The following is a 17,955-nucleotide window of genomic DNA, read 5'->3' as shown; positions in this document are numbered from 1 at the left end:
AGGTTGCAGTGGGCCAAGATCTTGCCACTACACTCCAGCCTGGGCAACAGAGTGAGTGAGACCCTGTCTCAAATAATTATAAAAATAGGCCGGGCACAGTGGCTCATGCCTGTAATCCCAGCACTTTGGGAGACCGAGGCGGGCGGATCACCTGAGGTCAGGAGTTCGAGACCAGCCTGACCAACATGGAGAAACCCCATCTCTACTAAAAATACAAAATTAGCCAGGTGTGGTGGCACATTCCTGTAGTCCCAGCTATTTGGGAGGCTGAGGCAGGAGAATCGCTTGAACCCAGGAGGCAGAGATTGCAGTGAGCCAGACAGTGTGCCACTGCACTCCAGCCTGAGCAACAAGAGCAAAACTCCGTCTCAAAATAAATAAATAAATAAAAATAATAATGATAAGTAATAATTTAAAAATTAAAAACAAAAATCAAATCTAGGGCCGGGCGTGGTGGCTCATGCCTATAATCCCAGCACTTTGGGAGGCTGAGGTGGGCGGATCACAAGGTCAGGAGTTCAAGACCAGCCTGGCCAGCATGGTGAAACCCCATCTCTACTAAAAATACAAAAGTTAGCCAGGCGCGGTGGCACACGCCTGTAGTCCCAGCTACTCAGGAGGCTGAGGCAGGAGGATTGCTTGAATCCGAGAGGCCGAGGTTACAGTGAGCTGAGATTGTGCCACTGCACTCCAGCCTGGGCGACACAGTAAGACTCTGTCTCAAAAAAAAACAACAACAGAAAAAAACAAAAACAAATCTCATGTTGAATCGTAATTCCCAGTGCCAGAGGTGGGGCTTGGTGGGAGGTGTTTGGATTATGGGGACAGATCCCGGGTGGCTTGGTGCTGTCTTCACAGTAGTGAGTTCTCTTGAGGAGATCTGGTTGTTTAAAGGTGTGTGGCACCTCCCTGCCCTCTTGTTCCTGCTTTCGCCATGTATTGGGGGCTCCCCCTTTGCCTGCCACCATGACTGTAAGCTTTCTCAGGCCTCCCCAGAAGCCGAGCAAAAGTCAGCACCATGCTTCCCATAAAGCCTGCAGAACTGTGAGGCAATTAAACCCCTTTTCTTTATAAATTACCCAGCCTCGGGGGTTTCTTTATAGCAATACAAGAACAGGCTGACACAGTTCTCTTTAAAATGGCCCACATTCGGAATTTGCTCATTTGCTTCTTGGTGGTTTATTTAACTTGCCCCTCTATTCTCCATATTACCTGTAAGAAGGTAGCTCGAAGCCTTCATCAGATCCGGATTCAAGGGTCTATCTCACAGGCCGTGCCGTGCGCTTCACACTGCATCACACGAGGAGGCACACAGTTTCCGGTTCTCCAGCTGTTAGAGATGCCGAGACTCATTAGCAGATTCAAGGTGTGACGGACTGGTGCCTTCATTGTAAAATGCCTCAACTTGCTTGTAATGGTATCATCCTTTGATGACCTTTACCTGAGTCAATTATTTGCTATTAAGGGGTGCGAAGTGGCAATTTTCGAATTCTGTACTTTTTTCTACATTTATTAGCTAAAATGATTTTGTAAAGAAGTGCTATTTGGTTGCCTGAAACATAGTTAATATGGAAAAGAGAAGATAAAGCTTAATTTCTTCCCTTTAAATTGCCAATTTTCAGAATATAGTGACAAATGAATGTTTTTTGTTTTCTGTCTTTAAAAATCTCATTATGAATTCATGATCTGAAAAATATGATCAGTGTGTCACTTTCAATTGCAGTAATGGTTCTTTTCAATGCGTATAGTGTCTTGTTTGGGGCCAATAATAGCTTCATGTTGGCTCCTGTAGCCTTTTGACAATCCCATTAATTTTTTGGATAACTTCTTTGCTTTCTGGCATAACAAGATGTACCAGGCACATTGTGCACATTTTATGCTTCAGACCAGGAATTAGCCATTTCTCCAAAAACCCCTGATTCATTATCTTCTAGAAGCTCTGAGTTTTTTTTTTTAAAGACCTGATTCTTTTTAGTAGAAAATAGTTTTTTAAAATAAATTTCTTTGTTGTAGAATAGTTTTTGATTTACAGAAAAATTGCAAAGATACATAGAAATTCCATATATCCAGTTTAACCTGTTATTAGTATCTTACATTAGTATGATATATTTTCCCCAAATAATGAGCCAACATTGATATATTATTATTAACTGAAGTCCATACTTTATTCGGATTTCTTTAGTTTTCTTTCTTTTTTTTCTTTTCTTTTTTTTTGTTTTGAGACAGAGTCTCACTGTTGCCCAGGCTGGAGTGCAGTGGCACGATTTCGGCTCACGGCAACTGCCGCCTCCCGGGTTCAAGCGATTCTCCCACCTCAGCCTCCCAAGTAGCTGGGATCACAGGTGTGTGGCACCACATCCAGCTAATTTTTTTTGTATTTTTTTTTTAGTAGAGATGGGGTTTCACCATGTTGGCCAGGCTGGTCTCAAACTCTTGACCTCAAGTGATCTGCCCACCTCATCCTCCCAAAATGTTGGGATTACAGGCGTGAGCTACCATGCCTGCCCAGAATAGTTTTTCGTTGTTGTTCCTTTGGTTTTGTTTTTTTTTTTTTAATTGAGATGGAGTCTCACTCTCACCCAGGCTGGAGTGTAGTGGCGCAATCTTGGCTCACTGCAATCTCCACCTCCCAGGTTCAAGCATTTCTCCTGCCTCAGCCTCTAGAGTACTGGATTACAGGCGCCCACCACCACACCTGGCTAATTTTTGTATTTTTAGTAGAGATGGGGTTTCACCATGTTGATCAGACTTGCTCGAACTCCTGACCTCATGGTCTGCCTGCCTCGGCCTCCCAAAGTGCTGGGATTACAGGTATGAGTTTCTTTCTTTCTTTCTTTTTCTTTCCCTTCCTTCCTTCCTTCTTTCCTTCCTTCCTTCTCTTTCTTTTTTTTTTCTTTTTGACGGAGTCTCGCTCTGCCGCCCAGGCTGGAGTGCAGTGGTGCAATCTCAGCTCACTGCAACCTCTGCCTCCCAGGTTCAAGTGATTCTCCTGCCTCAGCCTCCTGAATAGCTGGGACTACAGGCACGCACCAGCATGCCCAGCTAATTTTTGTATTTTTAGTAGAGACAGGGTTTCACCATGTTGGCCAAGATGGTCTCGATCTCATGACTCGTGATTCATGACCTCGTGATCTGCCCACCTCGGCCTCCCAAAGTGCTAGAATTACCGGCGTGAGCCACCACACCCGGCCTCTCTCTCTTTCTTTTTTTTTTTCTTTCTTTCTTTCTTTTAGCGAGTTGTGACCAACTTTTAAAAAGTGAAATCGAATTTAAAAAATAGAGTGTATTGTGTACAGTAAGAGTAAATATTATTTTGTTATAATATGAATGCAAAGTATACTTTTAACAATAGATGGATGGTCAACAAGTTTGGAAAAATGCTGAACTAGTGGACCATATATGATCTGCTTTACAAAATCACTAGAAAAATCTAAATGTAAGTTTAAATCTATATTTAGCATAAAAAATTATGCCAGAAGGCCTTAATTAGGATTAGAAGGATTAGAATTTAGGCTGCTTGGGTTTGAACTCTGGCTTTATTATTTACTTGGTGACATTTGGCAACTTAATTAAACTTTTTGTGCCTCAATTTTGTCATCTGTAAAATGGGATTAATTATAATATCTATCTCTGAAAGTTGTGGTGAAGAATAAATGAGTTAATACAAATATAATACCCAGAACACAGCCTGGCACATAGTCATAACTTTAAAATGTTAGTTATTATTATAGATGTTCTCAGTTCATTTAGCAATACAAGTCAAGATTTTTAAATCCTATTTTTCTAATAATTACCATTTAAAGTCAGATCGTAAGGCTTCTCACTTGTTGTAACTAAACCAGTCATCTACAGATTTCAATAAAGATCCTTTAGGTAATCATCTCAGAAATGAAAAGCTAACCACAAACACTGTAATGAGAAAACTGTGCTATTCCTGCAACCTGCTTTGTGCCTTTTTTTGTAGGCAATCCGGATATATCCAATCTTCTGAAAAGATTGGATCCTACTATAGCCTGCCCTGTGTTAGATGGTGAACATAATTTCTAGCAAGTTTTGTGTTTGAGGGCGCGTGCAATACTCCCCCATTTAACGAAAGTTGTGTTAGCACATGTCACTGAGCAAATGACTTCCTTCATTTATATGATTTGAGAAATCCAGCAAGATGATGCCAGGTGACACAAGGATGAACTATGCTTCATTGAAGTTACACTGATGACATATTGCTTTTATTATTTATTTATTTATTTATTTTGAGACAGATCTGTCTGTGTTGCCAAGGCTGGAGTGCAGTGGCACGATCATGGCTCACTGCAGCCTCAACTTCCTGGGCTCAAGTGATCCTCCCATGTCAGCCTTCAGAGGAGCTGGGATTACAGGCACATTGCTCTTTAAGAACTCCTCTCCTAGTGGTTTTCTGCTAAAATGTTTATTTATTTTATTTACTTATTTTGAGATGGAGTCTTGCTCTGTCGCCCAGGCTGGAGTGCAGTGGTGCGATCTCGGCTTACTGCAACTTCCACCTCCCTGGTTCAAGCAATTCCCCTTCCTCAGCCTCCTGATTACCTGGGATTACAGGCTTGCACAACCATGCCCGGCTAATTTTTTTTTTTTTTGTATTTTTAGTAGAGACGGGGTTTCACCATGTTGGCCAGACTAGTCTCGAACTCCTGACCTCAGGCAATCTGCCCTCCTTGGCCTCCCAAAGTGCTGGGATTATAGGTGTGAGCCACTGCGCCTAGCCTTCTGGTAAAATGTTAACTGGCACTGAGAGAGAAAGAAAGGAAAAAGTCTTGATTTGTAGCATTTGCCAATTTCCATGATGTAAATGTTTCTATCATGGCCCATTTCAGGCCACCAGTGTGATATCACTGAACACTGAGTTGGGAATGGGTGTATACACCTGATTCTCAGGAGTCTTCCAGGTAGGCTCCAGGACACCACCTGCAAGTGACTATTTCATGTTTTGTGCTCAGTGTGTATGTAAGAAGAAATGCATTTTAAAATGGAAAAAAAAAATATGTATTAAATGTTTCTTTGTGCTAAGAATACCAATGCAATGGATTTTTTGATTATGCAAAGGGAAAGCCAAGATTTTCTTCTGAAATGAAGATGTTGAGACAATATGGCTCCAAGGCACTGAACCAAGCCTTGAAGAATGTGAAATGCTGCAGTCCTCTAGACAGTTCTTCTAAAAACACATTCTTTATTAGAATGAATTAGAATTAGAATTCAGGCCACACATGGTCCCTAAAATGGATCTCCTGCTCTTATTAGATAAGAAAAGGAGGGGAGAAGATCAGATGAATGCAGGAAGGCTCTAGGGACAAGTTTTTGCCTCACACTGAAAAAGAACTATCAGGTCGACTGGACTGGCATCACAGAGCCCAGTGGGAACTATCCATCTAAAGACACCATGGAGGTCTTCCAGATTGAAGCACCTAGAGTTGAGGAAATCCAAGGATGGGGAATTGTTAGTTCTAGATGATCATCCAGGTAGGGCCCTGTGGGAAGGCCCAGCCCCAGAGTGAGCAGGCATTCCGAGTCACCATTATCCTGTAAGGGGACAGAGGGACTCTAGAGCCTGTGTTCCTCACCCTGACACAATACTGTACTGCACAATTTAATTCCATATAGAAAGCTTTCTCTGTTACACAAAATATGTAAAATAATGGTTAAGGGATGTTGAGCGGTTTATTCAAAAAAATAATAATAATAGGCCAGTCTCAGTGGCTCATGCTTATAATCCCAGTAGTTTGGGAGGCCAAGGTGGGTGGATCACTTGAGGTCAGGTGTGCAAGACCAGCCTGACCAACATGGTGAAACCCTGTCTCTACTAAAAATACAAAAATTAGCTGGGCATGGTGGCATGCATCTGTAGTCCCAGCTACTCCAGAGGTTGAGGTAGAAGATTGCTTGAACCTGGGAGGCGGAGGTTGCAGTGAGCCAAGATTGCACCACTGCAGTCCAGCCTGGATTACAGAGTGAGACTCCATCTCAAAAATAAACAAATAAATAAATAAAATAATGGTTGAGAGTCAAACACTAAAGCCAGATAGACAAGTTTGCATTTTCATTTTGTTACTTATCAGCTGTAAGAGACCTTGCTTGGACATACTATTTTAATTAATTTATTTATTTAGAGACAGAGTTTTGCTCTTGTTGCCCAGGCTGGAGTGCAATGGCACGATCTTGGCTCACAGCAACCTCTGCCTCCTGCGTTCAAGCAATTCTGCCTCAGCCTCTGGAGTAGCTGGGATTACAGGCATGTGCCACCATGCCCAGCTAATTTTGTATTTTTAGTAGAGATGAGGTTTCTCCATGTTGATCAGGCTGGTCTTCAACTCCCGACCTCAGGTGATCCGCCCGCCTTGGCCTCCCAAAGTTCTGGGATTACAGGCGTGAGCCACTACGCCCAGCCATACTATTTAAATTTAAACCTCAGCTTCCTCAACTGAGAAAAATAGTGAATATAATTGTATCTACCCCCTAGAATTATTTTGAGGATAAAATAAATGATTAAATTACATAATGAATACCAAGTATTTATGAAGCGGCTATGTTGTCTGGGGTATATACCCTGGGGTACTCCCATACCCTAACTATCTGCCTAAGTGATTTTTTCTTAACTCCCGTATTACTTATAGACTTCATTAGGTGCTGTAATCACAATAATAAATATCTCAGCTGGACGTGGTGGCTCACACCTGTAACCCCAGCACTTTGGGAGGCTGAGGCAGGAGGATCGCTTGAGGCCAGGAGTTTAAGACTAGCCTGGGCAACATGGTGAAACCCCAGTTCTACTAAAAATACAAGAAATTTGCTGGGCGTGGTGGTGCATGCCTGTAGTCCCAGCTACTCAGGGGTGTTGAGGTGGGAGGATTGCTTGAGCCCGGGAAGTTGAGGCTGCAGTGAGCCCTGATTGTGCCACTACACTCTAGCATGGGCTACAGAGTCTCAATACATACATAAATAAATATCTCTTCAGATACTCTTTTGGAGTATAGGCACCTGAAAGAAGTACATATTTATGTCATCTCAACATTAATCTTTTCTAAATTTCAGCTCAGATTTGCAATTCTTTCCCATTTCAGAGCTGTAACTATCTACCTCTGAGTAGAAAACACACAGGAAACAAAATATTTGTACAGGATGGTGTAAGTAAGTTGTATTGACTTGGGGTTCATGTAAGACCCAAAAAATTGAGTTTTGAGAGATGATTTCAGTCGTTTCTGGGGATGACACTGATGTGGATCTTTAATCGGAATATTCTAGACTCTTCTGTGGAAATAGTATCATCATTTGTACCATGGTTCTGTGAACACAAAGGTGATCTCAAGCTGTCAGCAAGTGTTGATGCCTTAGAACTAGAAGTCACCTAAAACTGGTGAAATATTTCTTTTCTCTGCTCTTCATCTGATTTATTTTATTTTATTTTTAACTATTTTTTATTTTTTATTTATTTATGTTTTTTGCGATGGAGGTTCGCTCCTGTTGCCCAGGCTGGAGTGCAATGGCATGATCTCAGCTCACCACAACCTCTGCCTCCCAGGTTCAAGCGATTCTCCTCCCTCAGCCTCCCGAGTAGCTGGGATTACAGGCATGTTCCACCATGCCCAGCTAATTTTGTATTTTTAGTAGAGACGGGGCTTTTCCATGTTAGGCTGGTCTCAAACTCCCGACCTCAGGTGATCCACCTGCCTCAGCCTCCCAAAGTGCTGGGATTACAGGCGTGAGCCACCGCGCCCGGCTGTCTGATTTATTTATTTATTATTTTATTGGTTAAAGCTGATGACGCTAGGATATAAATCTTATTTTAATTAAACCATCACAATGTCCACTCTGCTCTGCACGGAAAGATTGGCATTGATGAAGAAGAAGCTGAGGATGAGCTCTGTGTGAAGCCTCCATTTTACACAGATTTTCACTGAACACAAGATGAACCGTCTTCTATAAAACCACTGGGGATGATGTGCGCTGGATTTTTTGCAACGATTTTTATCTCTGGTGTTTCTGGCACTGACTAAGGTTTCAGGCAGACAGAGGCATGGAGGACCTAGCGACAATCACTAGGGAGCTTCCTGGTTGCTAGCAACAGTAAATACCATGAAGACACAATGACACAAAGACTCAACTTTTCACATACACACAATGAGACCTGGAGCCTGGTTTCTTATTTCAGATACAGAGTCCTTGAGATACAGTACAAAGGCTTCTTCTCTCTCTCCTTTGTATTAAATTTTTTAAATTGTGTGCAGAAACACATACTGCCCAAGAGCCTATATGACCATCTTGCTGCTCAATTTGTCTAAGAACACTTGTATTCTAACCTTCCTCTCAGTACTGTCATTTTTTTACTATTTTGAGGGAGAAATAGAAGGAAATAAGCTGTTTATCTGACTTGGGGATTTTAAATTATGTGTGACTTTGAAAAACTCATTTGTAAATACCTGTCTTCTGTAAGAGTTATAATTGATTTCCACTCTTCTGAAAATATTCAGAAAAACTATCTGAAAGATCTTCTTCTCCAAGCTTATTCTCTATTTTGTTTTTAGAAAAGGTAGAAGCATACAGAATATGAAATACAGCACTGGCAATTTAAGGTTTTTCCATGACTCATTCAAGGAAATTGCATAATAGCCTTTCCCTGCCAAGTTCACAGACTCTTCTCAAATACCTTGCAATTTTCCTTATTCTATTCCTTTATTCCTCAACCTCATCTCTCTTTCCTTCTTTTCTATGTGCCATTAACTTTTTTCTCTTTTCTCTAAGGCTGTAAAACTCTCTAGGGTATAGTCATGTGATAGGCAAGGTGACAACGGAAATTTGAAATACCCCCAACCTTGCTAGTCTGTCTCCTAGCAACTGTATAATACGTTGCTTAGTAACATGGGGGTGAGAGTGAAGTCGCTCTTACAAATCTAAAAATACTGAAATCATTTTAAAAAGATTAATAGTGGGCTTATTTATTAAAATATACTAAATCCATAAATAGTCTTGCCATATAAGGGACTTATTTCAGGCTATGCTATCTTGAGTGAAACTCTACATCTCTTATAATCTGTAGACAGTACTAGAACAACAGATTGCTGTTCACATAAGCAGATGAAGGAAAAAACCCACAGCGTTCTCTAAGCCTTTCTCTTCTACACATGTATAATCAAAGTTTACATCCACAGGGAAATGGAGAAATGTTTGCTAAATGATCTTTTAGGCTAGGCAGATGAAGAAAAAGCTAGGCAGCTTTTTCTAAGTTCTCTTTTGCCTGTGCATAATTGATTTCTAAATCTAAAGGAAGGTGGATCCAGCATTATCTCCAGAGAAGTTTAAAAAAAAAAAAAAGAAAAAATATTTTAAAAAGGGAATATGGAGAGACATTTCTTAAAATGCTCTTTGAGGCTAGGCTTCACTAGGAGTTGTGTCTTTAGGGTTAACAACCATAAATAAAGTAATTTTCAGTAAATTTATCGAGCGGATATCAGAATTTAGAAATAGCTGAACCACATCAAGCACACTAAAATTGTTTAGCTCAAAAATGATAAATTATTAATTCTAGGAGAGTATTATTTACTGAATTAGACCTACTGAATCAGACTCTCTGGTGGAGGAACTGGGGATCCATATTTTAACCAGCACCCCAATTACTTCAGCACATTTAGGAAACACTGGTGTACATGATCATTCCAACATGTTATAGGGGGGTATCTTCTATTTTAGTCTTAGATTTATGCCTGTAACACTTGAAGAGGGAGGTTCAAAGCCCAACCTAAATATTCTGCCACGTCCTCCCCTTGATGTAGGCCCTTTGGCTAATAAGACTGGTCAAGGCTGGGCGTGGTGGCTCACGCCTGTAATCCCAGCACTTTGGGAGGCTGAGGTGGGTGGATCACCTCAGGCTGGGAGTTCGGGACCAGCCTGGCCAAAATGGTAAAACCCCATCTCTACTAATAATACAGAAATTAGCTTGGTGTGGTGGTGCACGCCTGTAATCCCAGCTACTCCGAAGGCTGAGGCAGGAGAACCACTTGAACCTGGGAGGCAGAGGTTGCAGTGAGCTGAGATCATGCCATTGCACTCCAACCTGGGCGGCAGAGTGAGACTTCCATCTCCAAAAAAAAAAGACTGGTAAAGCTTCAGAAGCCTCCTCAATTGTTCATTCTGCAAATGTTTATTAAGATAATTTTGAATTGTAATTGACAGAATTTAGTGATCAGTTAGGATTAACTTAAATGAATTAAAGTACTTAGAATAGTGCCTGGAACACAGTGTTATATGAGGTTATTATTATTATTTATTTTATATATATATATATATATATATATATATATATTTTTTTTTTTTTTTTTTTTTTTTTTTGAGACAGAGTCTTACTCTGTCACCCAGGCTGGAGTGCAGTGGTGCGATGTCAGGTCATAGCAACCTCCGCCTTCCAGGTTGAAGTGATTCTCATGCCTCAGCCTCCCTAATAGCAGGGATCATAGGTGTGAGCCACCACACTGGGCTAATTTTTGTATTTTTTGTAGAAATGAGGTTTCACCATGTTGGCCAGGCTGGTCTTGAATACCTGACCTCAAGTGATCAACCCACCTCGGCCTCCCAAAGTGCTGGGATTACAGGCATGAGCCACTGTGTCCAGCCGAGGTTATTTTAATCTAGCTTTGCAGACCAGAAAGATGGTGACAATGAACTAATATTAAGAATACAGGATCACTGAGAATATAAAATACAAGGAGAGAGATGGAGAAAAATAACAAATTCCATTTAGATATATTGAATTTGAGATGTGTGCAGGTTATCTGGGGATAAAATCAGTAAGAAATATAAGTCTTAAAGATGGAGGTGTGATGTATAAGACATTTTAAAAGTGAATTCTGACTTTTGTGTGACAAGCTGTATCTAAAAATGAACCAGTTCTAATTCCTCAGTGTTTTGTATCTGACAAGATCAATGCATCTGTAAACTTTTGGAGGCAATAAATGGTTTTTTGTTCACTAGTAAATCATTCTCATTCTGGTTTATCTACAGCATGGAATTAAGACAGAGATTTGAGAGAAAAGAGAGAAACCCACATTTGGAAGGTTGGGGGAAGGGACTCTGGAGCCTCTTTTGATTACAATTGAATCCCTGTAGCCAGTGCACCATGGCAACCTTCCCAGTCGGCCACCTCATTTCCATCTGCTTTGGAGAAGGAAGGGGGCAGGACAGAGGTGGTTCAATGTGCATTCTTGTGAGTATGTGTAAAATGCAACCGAATTATAAATTGTGTTTCGTGAAAACTGACATTCCCTATTGTCTTCTCTGTTTCCTTCTCTTTCTTGTCTTCTCCGGATGCCTTTGAGCCTCTTCAAGTTTTGTCCCCTTTCCTCAAATGTCAGATTTCATCAGTAGGCGTGGCTAAATTACCACTCCAATGTACCAGAGCAAAATTACAAATTAAAATGTGTATCTCAGGACTTAAATATTTTGTTTAAAAGAGTGGTCCAGAGGCTGGGCGCGGTGGCTCATGCTTGAAATCCCAGCACTTTGGGAGGCTGAGGCCAGCTGATTGCTTGAGCCCAGATGTTCGAGGCCAGCCTGGGCAACATGGAGAAACCCTGTCTCTACAAAAAATAGAAAAATTAGCTAGGCATGGTGGTCCCACCTACTCGGACTACCTACTACAGAGTAGGTAGTCCCACCTACTCGGAGGCTGAGGTATGAGGATGGCTTGAGCCCGGGAAGTCAGGGCTGCAGTGAGCTGTGATCATACCACTGCACTCCAGCCTGGGCAACAGAGTGAGACTGGGACACATAAAAAAAAAGACTGCTCCAGTAAATAAATGAACATTAATGAGTTACTTCAAAGCATTGTATTCCAATGCCAGAGATATATTTTTAATATTACAGGGTTCAGGTATTCATTGTGTTATTTTGTAAGTCCTACTTCTGGAATAGAAATCCATTAATGTTTATCTCTGCTATACACACAAAAATCCTTCCCCAAATAGATAAAACTCGGTTACCAGAATGACCACAGATAATTCTTACCATAGTTATCCAGAAAAAAACTATTATTTAGTAATACTGCATTGTTGGCCAGATCCTGAGAAAAAGAATGTTAAGCTTTAAATAAAATTCTGAATTCTAGATGTGGAACCATATTCTTACCTAAATGGTTAGTGTTGGAATTTGGTCAAGGTAAATTCAGTGGATAGTCTTTGTGTGGATAGCTACACATAGTGACAGCCAATTCATTCAATATATTGATCCATACTAAACCCTAAAATGAAGATAAACTTAAATTCCATGTATCATTATAATCATGTCCATTCCCTTGTTTACATTTAGAGTTTGAAGCGTGTTTAGCGAGAGAATTTAAGGAAAACCTGGTTGCTTGAATATACCCATTTACACTCCACCACGCACCAAGAAGGCAGTTTGGCATGGACAGGTATGCTCATTTCACAAAAGATGCAGAGGCAGTGATGTGGCATGAGACAGGTGACACCACAGGGAAATGAGGTTAGGAACTGTGAACCAACAGCACCTGGAAAACTGGACCACCAGCTTCATCTCTGTGTCCGTGTGGCAGCTCCTGGGCTGAACTCTATCTCACAGCACTCGTCACACTGTAATAACAGTTTCCTTCCTTGCACCTTGAGCTCCTCTGGGGCAGGAAACATTTTTTTTTGTCTTTTATGCCAAGCCCTTGCTTTATACTGATTTCCTTGTTACTAAATCCAATGAGCACTCTTCTGTCCTTATTTAAAGACTCCTCTGCAGTATTTAGTATTACTCAGCACTCTCTTGACACTCGCTCCTTCCTTTGTTTCTGTGACATCAACGTGTTCTGCTTTACCGCCTCCTTCTTTGTTTCCTTTTCTGACACTTCTTTCTCTTGCAGTTCTTTATTGTTTTTATTTTTATTATTATTTGTTATTATTATTATATTTTCTTGGAGATGGAGTCTCGCTCTGTCACCCATGCTGGAGTGCAGTGGTGCGATCTTGGCTCACTACAACCTCCACCTCCTGGGTTCAAGTAATTCTCCTGCCTCAGCCTCCTGAGTAGCTGGGACTACAGGCGCACGCAGCCACGCCCGGCTAGTTTTTTATATTTTAGTAGAGATGGGATTTCACCTTGTTGTCCAGGTTGGTCTTGAATTCCTGAGCTCAGGCAATCCACCCGCCTCGGCCTCCCAAAGTGCTGGGATTACAGGCATGAGCCACAGCGCCTGGCCTATTATTATTATTTTTGAGACAGAGTCTCACTCTGTCACCCAGGCTGGAGTGCAGTGGCACCATCACAGCTCATGGCAACCTAGACCTCCTGGGCTCAAGCGATCCTCCCACCTCAGCCTCCTAAGTAGCTGGGACAATAGGCGTGCACCACCACGCCCAGTTAATTTTTTTCTTTTTGGTAGAGATGGGGGTCTTGATATGCTGCCCAGGTTGGTCTCGAACTCCTGGGCTCAAGCAATCCTTTTGTCTCAGCCTCCCAAAGTGCTGAGATTACAGGCATGAGCCACCTCACCCAGCCTACTGTTTTTAATTATTTTTTTTTTTTTTGAGACAGAGTCTTGCTCTGTCACCCAGGCTGGAGTGCAGTAGCGTGATCTTGGCTCACTGCAACCTCCACCTCTCAGGTTCAAGCAATTCTCCTGCCTCAGCCTCTTGAGTAGCTGGGGTTACAGGCACTTGCCACCACGCCCAGCTAATTTTTGTATTTTTAGTAGAGACAGGGTTTCACCATGTTGACCAGGCTGATCTCAAACCCCTGACCTCAGGTGGTCCACCCACCTTGGCCTCCAAAGTGCTGGGATTACAGGCGTGAGCCACCATGCACGACCCTGTTTTTAATTTATTAAATCTGTTCCCAAACCTGGTAAATCAACCTGCTAAATATCCCTAAAAGTCCCCAAATCTATCTTGTTCCCATTCAGTGACATGACTTGAAATTATGGGTTACAGTTGGAGAATTCTATTCTCATACTATACCACCAGCTTTATAACCATGCTGTTGTCATTAGACACCAAATACACATCTCCATCCCCTCCAGTCCTGACTTTTCCCTAAGCAGTCCCAATCTCAGATTCCCAGCAGCCTCCAAGACTTCTGCCCTCAATTCCTCTATCACCTAAATGGTGTAACATTCAGCTTGTTAGGTCACATCGACTGAACTTTCCTGCCCTCAACACCCTCCCCCAGCACACACACAAATGCATTTTCTGCTTAGACTTGCATCTCTTCTCAACTTCCCTATTCTGTTAACAGCACCACTACCATTTCATTCTCTGAGTCTTCCAGGCTAAAAACTTTAAGGATTAGGCAGGGCACAGTGTCTCACGCCTGTGGTCCCAGCACTTTCAGAGGCTGGGGTAGAAGGACTGCTTGAGGCCAGGAGTTTGAGACCAGCCTGAGCAAGAAAAGTGAGATCCTCTCTACGGAAAAAGCCAAGTGTAGTGGTGTGGGCCTGTAGTCCCAGCTACACGGGAGGCTGAGGTAGGAGGATCACTTGAACCCAGAAGTTTGAGCCTGCTGTGAACTATGATTATGCCACTGCTCTCCAGCCTGGGCCCTGCCTCTGAAAAAAGAGAAAAGAAAAAAAACACTTTAAGGGTTGATTTTGACTCCTTCCTTTTTACCACATGTCCAACCAATCACCACCAGGATTCTTCCTTTGAATGATGTCTTCTCTTATCCCTTTCTATCCATTATGATGGCCTGAGACCTTCTACTTAGATTATTGCAATAACTGTATTGGTCTCATTCTCCAGTCTCTTTTCCTACTCCATACACCAGTCACATTAATTTTATGAAAATGCTGTTCCCTTCATAAATTTGTCCCGCTTTTTTTTTTTTTTTTTTACTTGGTGACAGGGCCTCTCTCTCTGTTGCCCAAGCTGGAATGCAGTGGCACAATCATCACAGCTCATTGCAGCCTTGACCTCCCAGGGTCAAGCATTCTTCCTGCCTCAGCTTCCCAAGTAGCTAGAACCACAGGTGCATGCCACCTTACCCAGCTAATTTTTAAAATTTTCTGTAGAAATGGGGTCTCTCTATGTCACCCAAACTGGTCTCGAACTCCTGGGCTCAAGCAAGCCTCATGCCTCGGCCTCCCAAAGTGCCAGGATTACAGGTATGAGCCACTACCCTTGGCCTGTCACTCTTTTGGATAAGAACATAAAGGCTTCAGCCAAGCGCAGTGGCTCACACCTGTCATCCCAGGACTTTGGGAGGCCAAGGCGGGTGGATCACCTGAGATTGGGAGTTCGAGACCAGCCTGACCAATATGGAGTAACTAAAAATACAAAATTAGCCAGGCATGGTGACGCATGCTTGTAATCTAAGCTACTTGGGAGGCTGAGGCAGGAGAATTGCTTGAACCTGGGAAGCGGGGGTTGTGGTGAGCCGAGATCATGCCATTGCACTCGAGCCTGGGCAACAAGAGTAAAACTCCGTCTCTCTCTCTCTCTCTTTCTGTCTCTCTCTCTCTCTATATATATATACATATATATGTATAAAGGCTTCACACTGTGTATGGACTCAATCCCAAACTCCTTCAGACTGAAGTTCAAACCATTTTGTTAACTAGCTCCACCCTCCCCATATAACACATCGCTTACCCACCCTTGAATGCCCTAATCAAGCCAATTTCTTTGTCCTCCCTTATCCAGGCAACAGTTCATCATTATACTATATCTTTGCTAATGTTATTTTTCCTATTTAGAGTACTTATTCCACTCCCATTCTATTCAAGAGCCACCATTTCTAATAAAAGCTTCCATTATAAACATTATACAGGCTCATGCCTGTAATCCTAACACTTTGGGAGGCCGAGGTGAGTGGATTGCCTGAGTTCAGCAGTTCGAGACCAGCCTGGGCAACACGGTGAAACCCCATCTCTACTAAAATACAAAAAATTAGCCAGGCATGGCAGCGTGTGCCTGTAATCCCAGCTACTCGGGAGGCTGAGGCAGGAGAATTGCTTGAACCCAGGAGGCAGAGGTTGCAGTGAGCCAAGATAGTGCCATTGCACTCCAGCCTGGGTGACAGAGCAAGACTCTGTCTCAAAACAAACAAACAAACAAACAAACAAACAAACATTAGTTCAATTTGAGATACCTGAGAAAACAAGCCAGAGACTGGAAATTGACTATATGATCTGAGGCTAAGAAGAGGTATCAGGAAGTCATCAGGCTGGGCGAGGTGGCTTACGCCTGCAATCCCAGCACTTTGGGAGGCAGAGGCAGGTGGATCACCTGAAGTCAGGAGTTCAAGACCAGCCTGGCCAGCATGATGAAGCCCAGTCTCTACTAAAAATAGAAAAATTAGCTGGGTGTGGTGGTGGCGCCTGTAATCCCAGCTACTCAAGAGGTTGAGGCAGGAGAATCGCTTGAACCTGGGAGGCAGAGGTGGCAGTGAGCCAAGATCATGCTATTGCACTCCAGCCTGGGTGACAAGAGCGAAACTCCGTCTTGGAAAAAAAAAAAAGAAAAAGGAATTCATCAGCACCAGGCACAGTGGCTCCCACCTGTAATCCCAGCTACTGGGGAGGCTGAGGTAGGAGGATCACGTGAGGCCAGGAGTTTGAGACCAGCCTAGGCAATATAGCGAGACTCAGTCTCTAAAAAAAAATTAAAAGTAAATAAATAAATAAAAGAAGTCATCGGCATATAGGAAGGATTTGAAGCCTTGGGAATGAATGCACTTGCCATCCACCAAAAAGGTCTAAGACCACATAGAATAAAATGAGGAAAAGGTCTAGGACTGAAGCTTGAGGAATTCCAACGTTTGAAGATTAGGGAAAGGAGGAGGAACCAGCAGAGACTGACCAGAAACAAAAATGTAGGAGAGAAACCCAGAAAATGTAGAGTTTTTGAGGCTAAGGGAAGAAAGTGTCTTGAAGGAGATAATAGTCAACTGTGACAAAGCCTGTCACAGGTCAACAAGAGCTAAAATGTGTCCAGTGGATTTAACAACTAAGATAGACCAGGCACGGTGGCTCACGTCTGTAATCTCAGCACTTTGGGAGGCTGAGGCAAGTTGGCCACTTGAGGCCAGGAGTTTGAGACCAGCCTGGCCAACATGAGGTAACCCCGTCTCTACTAAAAATACAAAAATTAGCTGGGCGTGGTCGTGGGCACCTATAATCCCCGCTACTTGAGAGGCTGAGGCAGGAGAATCATTTGAACCCAGGAGGCAGAGGCTGCAGTAAGCCGATATCGCGCCACTGAACTGGAGTGAGACTCCATCTCAAAAACAAACAAACAAACAAAAAACAAACAAGGAGGCACTTTAAAGGAGTGATAGGAGCAGAATCCAGTTTGAAATGGATTTAAGGATGAATAGGAGGTGAAGATGTAAAAAAAAAAGTGTTCAACAACTCGTTTCCCTCGTAAGTTATGATACACGGAGTCATGAAATAGATCCCCTCTATTGGGATCAATTGCATGGCCCCTCTCCAAACATACACACGTACATGTCATTCTCAAACCTATAGGAATGTACGTGTCTCAATTATTCCAATAAATTGGAAGATTCTAGAGAAAAGAGACCATGCTATTACCTCTGAATTCTTCACCACCTAGGATGGTCTTGGGCTTACTCAGTAAATGCTTGCTGATTATAAATGGTAAAATACTTTATTAAATATCTTTTTTTAAGACAGAGTCTCACTCTGTTGCTCAGGCTGGAGTGCAGTGGTATGATCTCAGCTCACTACAACCTCCGCCTCCCGAGTTCAAGCGATTCTTATGCCTCAATCTCTACAATAACTGGGATTACAGGCACAAGCCACCACACCTGGCTGGTGTTTTGTTTTGTTTTAGTAGAGGTGGGGTTTCGCCATGTTGGCTAGGCTGGTCTCGAACTCCTGAACTCAAATAATCCCCTGCCTCGGCCTCCCAAAGTGCTGGGATTAAAGGCATGAGCCACTGCGCAAGGGCTAATTTTTATGTTTTTGATAGAGACAGGGTT

This window comes from Homo sapiens, chromosome 12 (assembly GCF_000001405.40).
Source record: "Homo sapiens chromosome 12, GRCh38.p14 Primary Assembly".
In the NCBI taxonomy this organism is placed as follows: Eukaryota; Metazoa; Chordata; class Mammalia; order Primates; family Hominidae; genus Homo; species Homo sapiens.
Note: the sequence above shows the minus strand (reverse complement) of the source record.